General features: G+C 35.0%; 1 long non-coding RNA gene across 3 annotated transcripts in view; it reads left to right on the top strand.

Annotated features, from left to right (window-relative positions):
• The window catches only part of LOC102724210 (uncharacterized), a 396,780-nt gene that overhangs the window by 367,813 nt on the left and 15,637 nt on the right, over window positions 1-13,330 (top strand). For all 3 annotated transcript variants that reach the window (XR_001741824.3, XR_939184.4, XR_001741825.2), the window contains 3 exons: window positions 5,484-6,411; window positions 7,477-7,639; window positions 8,267-8,332. This is a non-coding gene — a long non-coding RNA (uncharacterized LOC102724210). The remainder of the gene's footprint in view (window positions 1-5,483; window positions 6,412-7,476; window positions 7,640-8,266; window positions 8,333-13,330) is intronic.

The following is a 13,330-nucleotide window of genomic DNA, read 5'->3' as shown; positions in this document are numbered from 1 at the left end:
AAAAAGATTATCTTCAAACAGAAAAATTTCAAAAGCATACATTTAACCATCTGGAGTTTTTTAAAAAAGGAACATTTATTCTGTCTTTTGAAAGGAAAGATTTGACATTTAATTGCATTTTTATCCCCCAGAAAGAACACATCTTCAGCTTAATTATTCTCCACAAGAAAAATCTGTGTCTGTCTGTGTGTGTTGCGTGTGTTCCATATGCTTAGTATGCACTAAACACACATTTTAGCAAAGTTCTATTGGCATGACAAACTAGACACACACACACACACACACACACACACACACACAAGTAGATGATGTATGTGTACTTCCAGAATTTTTTTTAAAGCTTAGTTCATGGTTGTGATGAACAATGCTGATTTGGAACAAACCAAAATTCTGGTGGGGTGCTTTGCTGAAAACATTGATTCTTAACATATAACATGGATTCAATATTGACACATCTATTAGTGCTGGCAAGTAAAGTATCATGCTTCTGTTAGAAAAGGTAATAGCCTCAAGGATTAGCTATAAGTAGCCATCATGACATTTTTATCTAAGTTGGTCCAGTGATACTTGTGTTGTAGTCTTAGGAGGATTAGTTGAGTCAATGCATGTGAAAGTGCTCTTAGAAGTATGACATTTCTATGCAAATGCATGGCACATATATGAGTTGTGTATAAAGATATTATGATATGTCAAAGTCTCTGAGAGAGCATATATATGATATTGATACTAAACTTCAAGGCAGGAATTGGGAAAATGTGTCCCAGGCTCTGGGAGATGTTCTCAGATCAAATGAATTTTTTAGTAAAAATTTATGTAAAATGGTCAGCTGATTCAGGATTAAACATGAAAACACAGTATAATGGGTTTATGTTTTGGTTTAAAAGGACCATCTATCCAATTTTGTAGGTTAGTTTATTCATATGTTTGAGATCTGGCAGTGGATGTAATGGGGGTTCCGGAAGAGGCTACCATACATATATTGGATTCCATTAGAATTTAAGAAATTTAACAATAAAAACACAAATAAATGATTATACATACACTACATATAATAAATAAATATATAGCTATTATATGTAAACTACATATAATAAATAAATATAATACATTTAAAGCATTATAACCTTCTTATAATACATATAAAGCATTATAAGAAAAAATAAATAGTAGAAACAAAAGGATAAAAATAGAATGAATATAGATGGACAATAAGGGCTTACAGGGTTATGACTAAATCACAAATTTATGTAATTTTTCAACTTACAAAGTAAATACAATAAATGTTGTTTATAGAAAATGTTGAAAACACAGAAATCTATAAAAAGAGAAAAGAAAATCTATAATTTCTCTAGCTAGAAGTAACTATAAACATTTTGATACTTATTGTTCTAACCATTTTGTTATCTATGAATACAAAACTTTATATACAAAAGTGAGCCGTTAGTCACGTATTTCTTTTCACATTGCAATATATGTGACTGTTTTCCATGACCTTAAAAACTATTTGAGAAATAATTTTAAATGGTTGCATATTCTTGTATGTGTAACCATAATTTACTCAAACAATATCTAATATTAGACATATGTTGTCTCCAAGATTTTGCTGTTATCAGGGTTACTGCTCTTATCATATTTGTGTATGAATACCTAATTATTTACTTGGAAAATTTTTCTAGAAAATGACAGAAATTTTGACTGAGTCAAAAGTCACAAAGAGTTTGAAAGCTCTGGGGTTCAACTCTGTGAATGTGAATATTGGCTCTCCCACTTCATGTCTCTGTGATTTTGAACAAGTTAATATCTCTGAGCTTCAGTTGATCTGAAATTAGAGATTACAATGATAACTTCTTCATGGGTTTGCTGTGAGCGTTACTTTGATATTAAACAGGTGTAGTAAGCACTCTTCTTGGCATCCAATGAATGTTAGAAGTTACTATTAATTAAACTATTACTTTAATAGTAATCAGTAATAGTAATCAGTGTTTTCAGCAAAGCACTTAGGGGACCACCAGAATTTGGGTTTGTTCCAAATCGGAATTGCTCATTATAACCATAAACTAAGATTTGAAAAAAATTCTGGAAGCACACGTACATCATCTACTCGTGTGTATGTGTGTGTCTAGTTTGTGATGCCAATAGAACTTAGCTAAAATGTGTATTTAGTGCATACTAAGCATATGGAACAGACAGACAGACAGACACACACACACAGTAATGTTATTACTTTTAATGGTGAAAACTGTAATTACTTTTGTACCAAACCTAATATAATCATTATGTCTCAACATTGCCCTTTGGAAATGTTGTGTCACTTAAAACTATTATCATTTCTATCTCAGAACACATCTTGAAAATTCTTCATACAGCAAAGATGCAAACTCATTGTCATATATGGTATAAATATTATTCTAGTATCTCACTTGCATTCTAATTTTTTAGACTTTTTATTTGTGTGAGTCAAGTCCATTTATATTCACACAGCCAGAGACAGACAAATGCTTGGCTACAAATACTTGAATCCAACACACATGTGGTGATGTTGACATTCCTCTGTGAAAATTAAGGCCCCAGACAAGGCTCCACATATATTTATTTGTTTGTGAGATGGAGAAACTGCACCAAGACTTGTGAGCATAGTAAGGATTTTGCTCAAGAAATATTTCTGAATGTGTTTCAGAATTTGAATGAAGGTTTGCTCAAATCTCCGAAGTTCCACTTGTAAAATTAGGGCTAAGATGATTTTGGTCTGAAAATATTTCAAAGACATGATAAACCATTTCACACCTTCACTAGAAATAAAAAGCTCCATTTCCTCATATTAAAGATTGTTTTGCATCACATGGCTTCTTAGTACAGGTTCTCAGAAGAATTCATTGCAAAATATATCTTCTGGGGCTAAGTATAACATATTGACCTATCTATTTCATATGAAGAGATTAACTTGGATAATTATGCTAAAAGATTGATATTAGTTAATTTAATTCTTGAGAATAAGTTTTTTTCTTATAATATTTCAAGACTAAGGTCAATTTTCTTTTGATGCCATTCCTAATTTATGGACAATTACATCATATTGTTAGAATTTTCAAAAATATCTATTTTATTTTCTATGGTATGAACCAAGTATCTACATCATTCCAAAGCTACTAAGAAATATGTGCCTCTATAAATTGTTTCTGATTCCTCAGGAAAATTTGTGACCTGCTTTTCCTCTGGCAGTGGTATTAAATAGCAGGTTGGTTTGAACATCAGTAACCAAAAACCTTTATTGACTTCATGCAGAATATCCTACAAATAGGCTGGGGGTGGTGGCTCACACCTGTAATTCCAGCACTTTGGGAGGCCAAGGCAGACAGATCACTTGAGCTCAGAAGTTTGAGACCAGCTTGGGCAAAATGGCACAAGCCCGTCTGTACAAAAAATACAAAAATCAGCTAGGCATGGTGGTGTGAGCCTGTAGTCCCAGCTACTCCAGAGGCTGTTTTGTGAGGATTGCTTGAGCCCAGGAAGTCGAGGCTACAGTGAGCAGTGATTGCGGCACTGCACTCCAGCCTGGGCAACAGAGCCAGACTACCCCCTGTCCCAAAAGGATAACCTACAAATAATCCAGTTCACTGAGTCCAAAGTTGAGGAGAAAGCAATAAAACTGTCAAATTCTCTTATATAATTTTGAATCAATTGTGAGACATGACAGTAAGTGTAATACAATTAAGATTGGAGTAGCTATGTTTGAAGTTTCCTTCCTCTCCTTGTAAAGATTGGTCTTTAAACCCAGATATACTCTGAAAATGTTAAGGGAGAAACTGATATGAGGTTTACACATGGGGCTCAGTAAACAGATTCATTCTTTTGTGGCAGTGAGGGTTATTACACAGATATGAACTTAGATTGCACTTACGGTTAGTTTCATTCCGTTTAGGACTTAATTATTCTAGATGTCTTGATTTACATATGCCAGTTTTCTTCCTGAGAAGCGTTACCACATCTTAGTCTTCCTTTGTATTCCTGACATTTTTTAACAGTTTAGGACCCCTTTTAAGTTGTTAATAGACCTGTTGACTAATCAAAATTATTTTGCTGGTGTTTGCTATCATTTTAAGTAGAAGAGTTATCAGGTGACACTGGCTTCAGTTTCCACAATAACATCTTGACTATCAATGCAAGAAGCAATGCATAAGGCTAGACCAGATAGCCTGCTCTCATGTGCTGACATTGGCCACACCTTGGGAAAAAAGTAGGTATTTTTCTGGTGACATTTGGACTTCTCTGTATTTTAGGCCTTTTGCTGGAAAGAATGAGAGGAACAGTTTCTTAGAATTGAAAACCTAGACTTTTTTAGCTTTAATCAGCCTTAGGGTCTCTTCTCTTGGTATTTACTCAATCCCTTTTATACACAAACTTCTTTTATCAACATAAAAATCTGAAATTATTAATATTTTAAGAAAATATCTTTTTAAATACTGAAACTTGAAAACCACACAAACTATTTGAAAAGAATAATGTATGCTAGGTTAAATTTCTCCCTCTTCTGGCTGATTGAAAGAAGGAAAGAAGAAAATTATAGTGCTGGCATAGTAGAAAGATCAAAATTCTAACTTAAGGTTTTCTAGAAACTGAAGTTAAGAGTTGTAGGCTTTAAATAAGAGAGAGAGAGAGAGAAAGAGAGGAGTGAATGTGTGTGTATCAGGTGGGAATGTGGTTGGGAGATATTTTGGATTATACTACTAATGTATGATTCAGTGTTGAAATTTGAATTTTAGGATACCCATTTCATATTGTAATGAGTTTATTCAAGGCTTTATATGGAATTAAATGTATGAATTTATTATTTACAAGTCCTATATAGCCTGACTCAAACCATTTAGCCACTTGGAGATTGTTTCCTCAATTTTAAAATGGAGAGATTGTTTGGCCAATCCGTCTCACAGGATTGTTGGAAACAGGGAAGATCACATGTGTGAAATTTTAAAAAACGATAAAGATCCAAATAATTATGTGTTCCTTACAATTATTGTCTTTGCACTTACAGTACACACACACACACACACACACACACACGTGCACGCATTTATATGAACTTAAAGTAGTGGCACCATACATTGAGACCAGGTCTACACACAGTGACCTGGGTTATAGGGGACTGTGCCTGGAGTTTATACAAGCTGACAACATTTTAGTGTGTGCTCACTTGTAAGCATTTACCCTGAGTAAACCTGTGACCCACCACCTAGTAGATGTTTCTGAATAGAATGTTGAGCTACTATGAGCTGGAGTTGCTGACAATCACTGGGAGTTTCTGACCCCGTTAATTATGTGTTCAGCAATACAGTATTTGGCACATTAAAAACTACTAATTATGCCCATATTTTAATCTTAATTTTCCAGTTTATTATGATTTCTTCATCATGCCCAAACTGTCTGAGTAAGCAGCTTATCTCCCAATATCTCCACTTGCCTAACAGATGTTCTCTCTCTCTCAACAGATGTTGGCACTTCTTAGGAAGGAGCCATCCATGTCTGAAGAGAAGAAATGATAATTAACTTCATCATGTGGAAAGCTTTAGAAGGAAGTATCTTGTCCTTCTGTCCAAACCCGCCTCCTCCTTACCACCCCCAATAAAAATAAAAGCCAAACAAATAAAACATTAGCAGTAGCTCTGAGTTTCTTCCTTTCACTTTTTCTCTCTCTTCATGCCTTTTCTCCTCCATTCCTTCCTTCTTTCAAATCATTTTTACTAGTTTAAGAGAATAATTCAATCTATATTTAGAAATCAGACTTAAAACTTCAAAAATTATACTGAAATAGCTTCCCCTTAAAGGGTGAAACAGTCATGATAAAAATAACAACCGATAGAATAAAATAATATAAAATTAGCTGAGTTTATAGTTTCTTTTACACCTCCATAATTTATGTGGATTTGGAAATACAGACAGTATACTGAAAACTAAGAAGTTTTCTATGAATTATGAGAATTTGCAATCCACATAGGCTTAAGTCTAATGTTAGAAGATAAAACAAATTGACCTTAAATAACTTTCTGACATAACCTCCCCATTTCATGGATGAAAAACCCTAAAGCTCTCATAAGTAAAGTGATTTACTTCAGGACACAAACTAGTTGATTTAGTTTGGATGTTTGTCCCCTCCAAATCTCATGTTGAAATGGAATCCCCAGTGTTGGAGGTGGGGCCTGGTGGGAGGTGTTTGTGTCATGGGGCAGATCCATTATCCTTATGAGCTGCTTGGTGCTATCCTTGTGATAGTGAGTGAGTTCTCATGAAATCTGGTTGTTTAAAAATTTGTGGCACCTCCCCACCAGCCTTGCTCCTGCTCTTGCGGTGTGATATGCCTGCTGCCTCTTCACCTTACACCGTGATTATAAGCTTCCTGAGGCCTCACCAGAAGCAGTTGTGAGTACCATGCTTCCTGCAAAGCCTGCAGAACTGTTAGCCAATTAAACTTCTTTTCTTTCTAAATTTCCCATCCTCAGTTATTCCTTTATAGTAACTCAAAAATGGGCTAATAAACTAGTTGTGGGCATATCTATACTGAAAACATACTTTTATTTCCGAATTATTTAAACTTTTTATTTAGAAATTGGCAAGTTAAAAGATGTATTATTTAACGTTATACTGTTATTTTCCCAGTCCCTAGAGAGGCATTCAAGACATGGTATGTATTCATGAAGTATTTGTTTTTAAACAAGTGTGTTCATGTATAATTAACAGCTTTCTCATTGAAGGACAATATTGAATTGAAGTTATAGGTGGTGATTCAGGAGCCATAACTGTTTAGGTTCAAATTCTGACTCCTCTATTTAACAGCACTGTGATCTTGGGCAAATGGCCTAACTTCTCTGTGTTTCCATTCCCTAATCTCTAAAACAAAGATAATAAAATCTGCCTCATAGCTTTTTGTGAAGGTTAAATTAAAGTACTTGGAACAATGCTTGTCTAACGCATAAACATTCAAAAATGTGAACTATTATTCTTGCCTTATGAACCATTAAAACACATTTTGTAAGATTGCAAGTGTAAGTTTCCTTTAACATAATGTGATATAGAAAACTCTAAACATAAACCAATAAGGGAGGTTATGGGAATAGGTTGGAGTGAGGGTAAGTTGCTCATTTAATTTACAAATAAATATTTATTGGCAATACCATGAAACTCAGGTTTCATTCAATTGAACACTTTTGGTGAGCATCTTTGGGTGCATTGTTTATATTCTTAGTAACATAATACAAGATTTGGAAGCGCCCTTACAATTCCCATTATCTTCTTTCATCCCCCAGAAATGTTAGATATGTCCCACTCTACAGAAAAGCTACTATAATAAACTAGTGAATCAAAGAGTAAGTATGGATAAAGAAAACACAGTGTGAGAAACAATGTAACTTTGGATTGGGTACACCTTATTTCTGAAAAATTAGAAGGAAGAGAGTTTTTGTAAAGACATCCTTTTCTCTCTTGCAGCTTCTATCAGGATTTTAAGAGGGCAGGCAGAACTTTAAAGCAAAGGAAATTGCTTGTTTTTGTGAAATTAACCAGTCTGTTATCAAGGCGGAGGACAAGATACGAATGCTAATCATTGTGAAGAAACTCATTACGGAATTTTCTCCAATACATAGGCAAAAGAGTTAAGTATTTTGCTCTAAGGTGAAAATCCCAAATTGTGGAAGAATGGGGGGAAGTTAAGATTTAATAATTAATTGTTCTTTGCTCTTTGGATTTTTCAGACTTTTATATATCTAAAGCTTTGTTGAAGTATAAATTACATATTATAAAACTTACCCCTATTAACTGTACAATTTGATAAGTTCTGACAAATGTACACCATCATGTTGTTACCATTTCAGTCAAGTTTACAGACCATTCCTATCATCCTCCAAATATCCCTTCTGATCTTTGTAGATAATCCCACCTCTCCTTGTCATTCCCAGGAAACTACTAATCTGATGTCTGTTCCTAATGTTTTGCTTTTCATGAATATTATATAATTGGACTCATACAACCATGTAGGATTTTTCCTTTTTATTGCCTAGTAGTATTCCATTATCTGGATATGCCATAGTTTGTGTACCCCTTTACCAGATATGGACCAGTGGGTTGTAACCAATTTTTTATGATTCTGAGAAATCACATATGGGTATTTGTGTGGACATATATTTATATTTACTTTGGGTAAATACCTAATAGCAGGATTGCTGGGTCATAAGGTAAGTATATGTTGCAATTAATAAGAAACTGTCAAATTGTTTTACAGAGTGGCTGTTATCATTTTGCACTATAACCAGACATATAATGCTGTTGCTCCACATCCACGTCAGAGGTTGGTATTGTCAGATTTTTAAAAAAGATATTGTAGTAGAAAGGCAGTGATCTCATTGTGGTTTCAATTAGCATTTCTCTAAAGACTATGTTGAGTGTCTTTTTTTCACTTTCTTTTTTTAAATTTAAGTTTAGGGGTGCATGTGCAGGATGTGCAGGTTTGTTACATAGGTAAACGTGTGCCATGGTAGTTTGCTGCACAGATCATCACATCACCTATGTATTAAGCTCAGCATCCATGAGCTGTTCTTCCTGATGCTCTCGCTTGTCCCCCTCTGACCCTCTAACAGGCCCCAGTGTGTGTGGTTCCCCTCATGTGTTTACGTGTTCTCATTATTCAGCTCTCACTTATAAATACTTGGTTTTCTGTTCCTATATTAGTTTGCTGAAGATAATGGCCTCTATCTCCATCTATGTCCCTGCAAAGGACATGATCTCATTCCTTTTTATGGCTGCATAGTATTCCATGGTGTATATGTAGCACATTTCCTTTACCAAGTCTATCATCAATGGATGTTTAGATTGATTCAATGTCTTTGCTATTGTGAATAGTGCTGCAATGAGCATACGTGTGCATGTATCTTTATAATAAAATGATTTATATTCCTTTGTGTATATACCCAGTAACAGGATTGCTGGGTCAAATGGTATTTCTGCCTATGGGTTTTTGAGGAATTGCCACACTATCTTCCACAATGGGTGAATTAACTTACACTACCACCAACAGTGTAAAAGCATTCCTTTTTCTCTATAACCTCACCAGCATCTGTTGTGTTTTGACTTTTTAATGATAGCTATTCTGACAGGTGTGAGATGGTATCTCATTGTGGTTTTGATTTGCATTTCTCTAATGATCAGTGATGCTGAGGTTTTTTTCATGTGTATTGGCTGCATGTCTTCTTTTGAGAAGTATCTATTCATGTCCTTTGCCCATTTTTAAATGGATTGTTTGTTTTTTCTTGTAAATTTGTTTGAGTTCCTTATAGAGGCTGGACATTAGATCTTTTTCAGATGGATAAATTGCAAACATTGATTCCTATTCAGTAGGTTGTTTGTTCACTGTGATGATAGTTTATTTTGCTGTGCAGAAGCTCTTTAGTTTAATTAAATCTCATTTGTCAATTTTTGCTTTTGTTGAAATTGCTTTTGGTGTGTTTGTCATGAAATCTTTGCCCATGCCTATGTCCTGAATGGTATTGCCTACATTTTCTTCTAGGGTTTTTATTGTTCTGGGTTTTACATTTAAGTCTTTAGTCCATTTTGAGTAGATTTTTGTATAAGGTGTAAGGAAGGGGTCCAGTTTCAATTTTCTGCATATAGCTAACCAGTTATCCCATCACCATTTATTGAATGGGTAATCCTTTCCCCATTTCTTGTTTTTGTCAGGTTTGTCAAAAATCAGATGTTTGTATGTATACAGTCTTATTTTTGGGTACTCTATTCTGTTCCATTCGTCTATGTGTCTGTTCTGGTACCAGTACTATGCTGTTTTGGTTACTGTAGCCCTGTAGTATAGTTTGGAGTCAGGTAGCGTGATGCCTCCAGATTTGTTCTTTTTGCTTAGGGTTGTCTTGGCTCTTTGGGCTCATTTTTGGTTCCATATGAATTTTAAAATAGTTTTTTCTAATTCTGTGAAGAATGTCAATGGTAGTTTAATGGGAATAGCATCGAATCTGTAAATTACTTTGAGCAATGTGTAGCCATTTTCACGATATTAATTCAATGAGCATGAAATATTTCCCCATTTGTTTGTGTCTTCTCTGATTTCTTTGAGCAGTGGTTTGTAGTTCTCCTTGTAGAGATCTTTCACTTCCCCTGTGAGCTGTATTCCTAGGTATTTTATTCTTTTTGTGGCAATTTTGAGTGGGACCTCATTCATGATTTGGCACTTGGCTTAACTGTTGTTTATGTATAGGAATGCTAGTGATTTTTGCACATTGATTTTGTGTCCTAAGACTTTGCTAAAGTTGCTTACCAACTTAAGAAGCTTTTGGGGTGAGATGATAGTGTTTTCTAGATATAGGATCATGTCTTCTGCAAACAAAGGTAGTTTGACTTCCTCCTTTCCTATTTGAATATGCTGTATTTCTTTCTCTTTCCTGATTGCCCTGTCGAGAACTTCCAATACTATGTTGAATATGAGTGGTGAGAGAGGGCATCCTTGTCTCATACCAGTTTTCAAAGAGAATGTTTCTAACTTTTGCCCATTCAGTATAATAATGGCTGTGGGTTTGTCCCATGTGGTTCTTATTATTTTGAGGTATGTTCCTTCGATATCTAGTTTATTGAGAGTTTTTAACATGAAGGGAAGCATCTATTGAGATAATCATGTGGTTTTTGTCTTTAGATCTGTTTATGTTATGAATCACATTTATTGTTTTGCATATGTTAAACAAACCTTGCATCCCAGGGATGAAGTCCACTTGATTGTGGTGGATAAGCTATATGATGTGCTGCTAGATTCAGCTTGCCAGCATTTTGTTGAGGATTTTTGCATCAATGTTCATCAAGGATATTGGCCTGAAGTTTTCTTTTTTGTGGTATCTCTGCTAGGTTCTGGTATCAGGATGATGTTGGCCTCATAGAATGAGTTAGGGAGGACTCCCTCCTTTTCGATTTTTTGGAATAGTTTCAGTAGGAATGGTATCAGCTTTTCTTTGTACTTCTGGTAGAGTTCAGCTGTGAATCAGTCTGGTCCTGGGCTTTTTTTGGTTGGTAGGCTATTCATTACTGCCTCAATTTCAGAACTTGTTATTGGTCTATTCAGGGATTCAGTTTCTTCCCAGATTAGTCTTGGGAGGGTGTGTGTGTCCAGGAATTTATCCATTTCTTCTAGATTTTCTAGTTTATGTACATAGAGGTGTTTATAGTATTTTCTGACAGTTGCTTGCTTTTCTGTGGGATCAGTGGTGATATCCTCCTATCAGTTTTTATTGTGTTTCTTTGAATCTTCTCTCTTTTCTTCTTGTTAGTCTAACCAGTAGTCTATTTTATTATTATTATTTTCAAACAACCAGCTCTTGGATTCGTTGGTTTTTTTTGAATCAACGGGCTTTTTGGTTCTCTAAATCCTTTAGTTCTGCTCTACTCTTGGTTATTTCTTGCCTTCTTCTAGCTTTGGGATTTGTTTGCTGTTGGTTCTCTATTTTAGTTGTGATGTTAGCTTGTTAACTTGAGATCTTTCTTTTTGATGTGGGCATTTAGTGCTATAAATGTCCTTCTTAACATGACCTTAGCTGTTTCCCGGAGGTTCTGGTACATCATGTCTTTGTTCTCATTAGTTTCAAATAACTTCTTGATTTCTGCCTTAATTTCATTATTTACCCAAGAGCCACTCAGGAGCAGGTTGTTCAGCTTCCATGTAGTTGTATGGTTTTGAGTACATTTCTTAATCTTGAGTTCTAATTTGATTGTTTTGTGGTCTGAGACTGTTTGTTATGAGTTCATTTCTTTTGCATTTGCTGAAGAGTGTTTTACTTCTGATTATGCTACCAATTTTAGAGTAAGTGCCATGTGGTGAAGAGAAGAATGTATATTCTGTTGTTTTGGGTGGAGAGTTCGTAGACATCTATCAGGTCCACTTGATCCAGAGCTGAGTTCAAGTCCTGAATGTCTTTGTTGATTTTCTGTCTTGATGATCTGTCTAATGTTGTCAGTGAAGGGTTAAACTCTCCCATTATTGTGTGGGAGTCAAGATCTCTTTGAAGATGTCTAAGAACTTTCTTTATGAATCTGGGTGCTCCTGTATTGGGTGTATATATATTTAGGATAGTTAGCTCTTCTTGTTGAATTGATCCCTTTACCCTTATATAATCATCTTGTCTTTTTTGATCTTTGTTGGTTTAAAGTCTGTTTTCTCAGAAACTAGGATTGCAACTCTTGCTTTTTTCTGTTTTCCATTTGCTTAGTAGATTTTCCTCCATTCCTTTATTTTGAGCCTATGTGTGTCTTTGGATGTGAGATGGGTTTCTTAAAAACAGCATACTAATGTGTCTTTTAATTGAGGGCATTTATCCCATTTACATTTAAGGTTAGTATTGTTATGTGTGGATGTGATCCTGTCATCATGATGCTAGCTGATTATTGTGCGGACTTGTTTATGTGATTCCTTCATAGTGTCACTGGTCTGTGTGTTTTTTGGGTATACACTGTGTTTTTGTAGTGGCTGTTTTTTTAGTATATTTTGTAGTGGCTAGTAATAATCTTGCCTTTCCACGTTTAGTACTTCCTTCAGAAGCTCTTGCAAGGCAGTCTCATGGTAGCAAATTTCCTCAGCATTTGCTTGTTTGAAAAGCATCTTATTTATCCTTCACTTATGAAGCTTAGTTTGACTGGATATGCAATTTTGGGTTGGAAATTCTTCTCTTTAAGAATGGTGAATATTGGCCCCTAATCTCTTCTAGCTTGTAGAGTTTCCACTGAGAGATCCACTGTTAGTCTGATGGGCTTCCCTTTGTAGGTGACCTGGCCTTTCTCTCTGGTTGCTCTTAACATTTTTATTTTTTACATTTTGATTTTGGAGAATCTGATAATTATGTGTCTTTGGGTTGATCTTCTCATTGGAGTATCTTACAGGGGTTCTCTGGATTTCCTAAATTTAAATATTGGCCTGTCTTGCTAGGTTGGGGAAGTTCCCCAGGTTGATATACTGAAGTGTTTTCCAACTTGTTTTCATACTGTCCCTTTCAGGTATCCTAATCAGCAATAGATTTGGTCTCTTTGCATAATCTCATATTTCTCAGAGGTTTTGTTCCTTCCCTTTCATTCTTTTTTCTCTATTCTTGTCTGCCTGTCTTATTTCAGAAAGATAGTCTTCAAGCTCTGATTCTTTCCTCTGCTTAACTTATTCTGCTATTAATTCTTATGATTGCATTGTGAAATTCTTGTGTGTTTTTCAGCTCTCAGAGGTTGGTTGTGTTCCTCTCTGAACTGGCTGTTTTGGCCATCAGCTCCTATATTGTTTTATCATAATTCTTAACTTCTTTGAATTGGTTTACAA

This window comes from Homo sapiens, chromosome 4, assembly GCF_000001405.40.
Source record: "Homo sapiens chromosome 4, GRCh38.p14 Primary Assembly".
NCBI lineage: Eukaryota > Metazoa > Chordata > Mammalia > Primates > Hominidae > Homo > Homo sapiens.
This window is presented reverse-complemented; position numbering and strand designations above follow the sequence as displayed.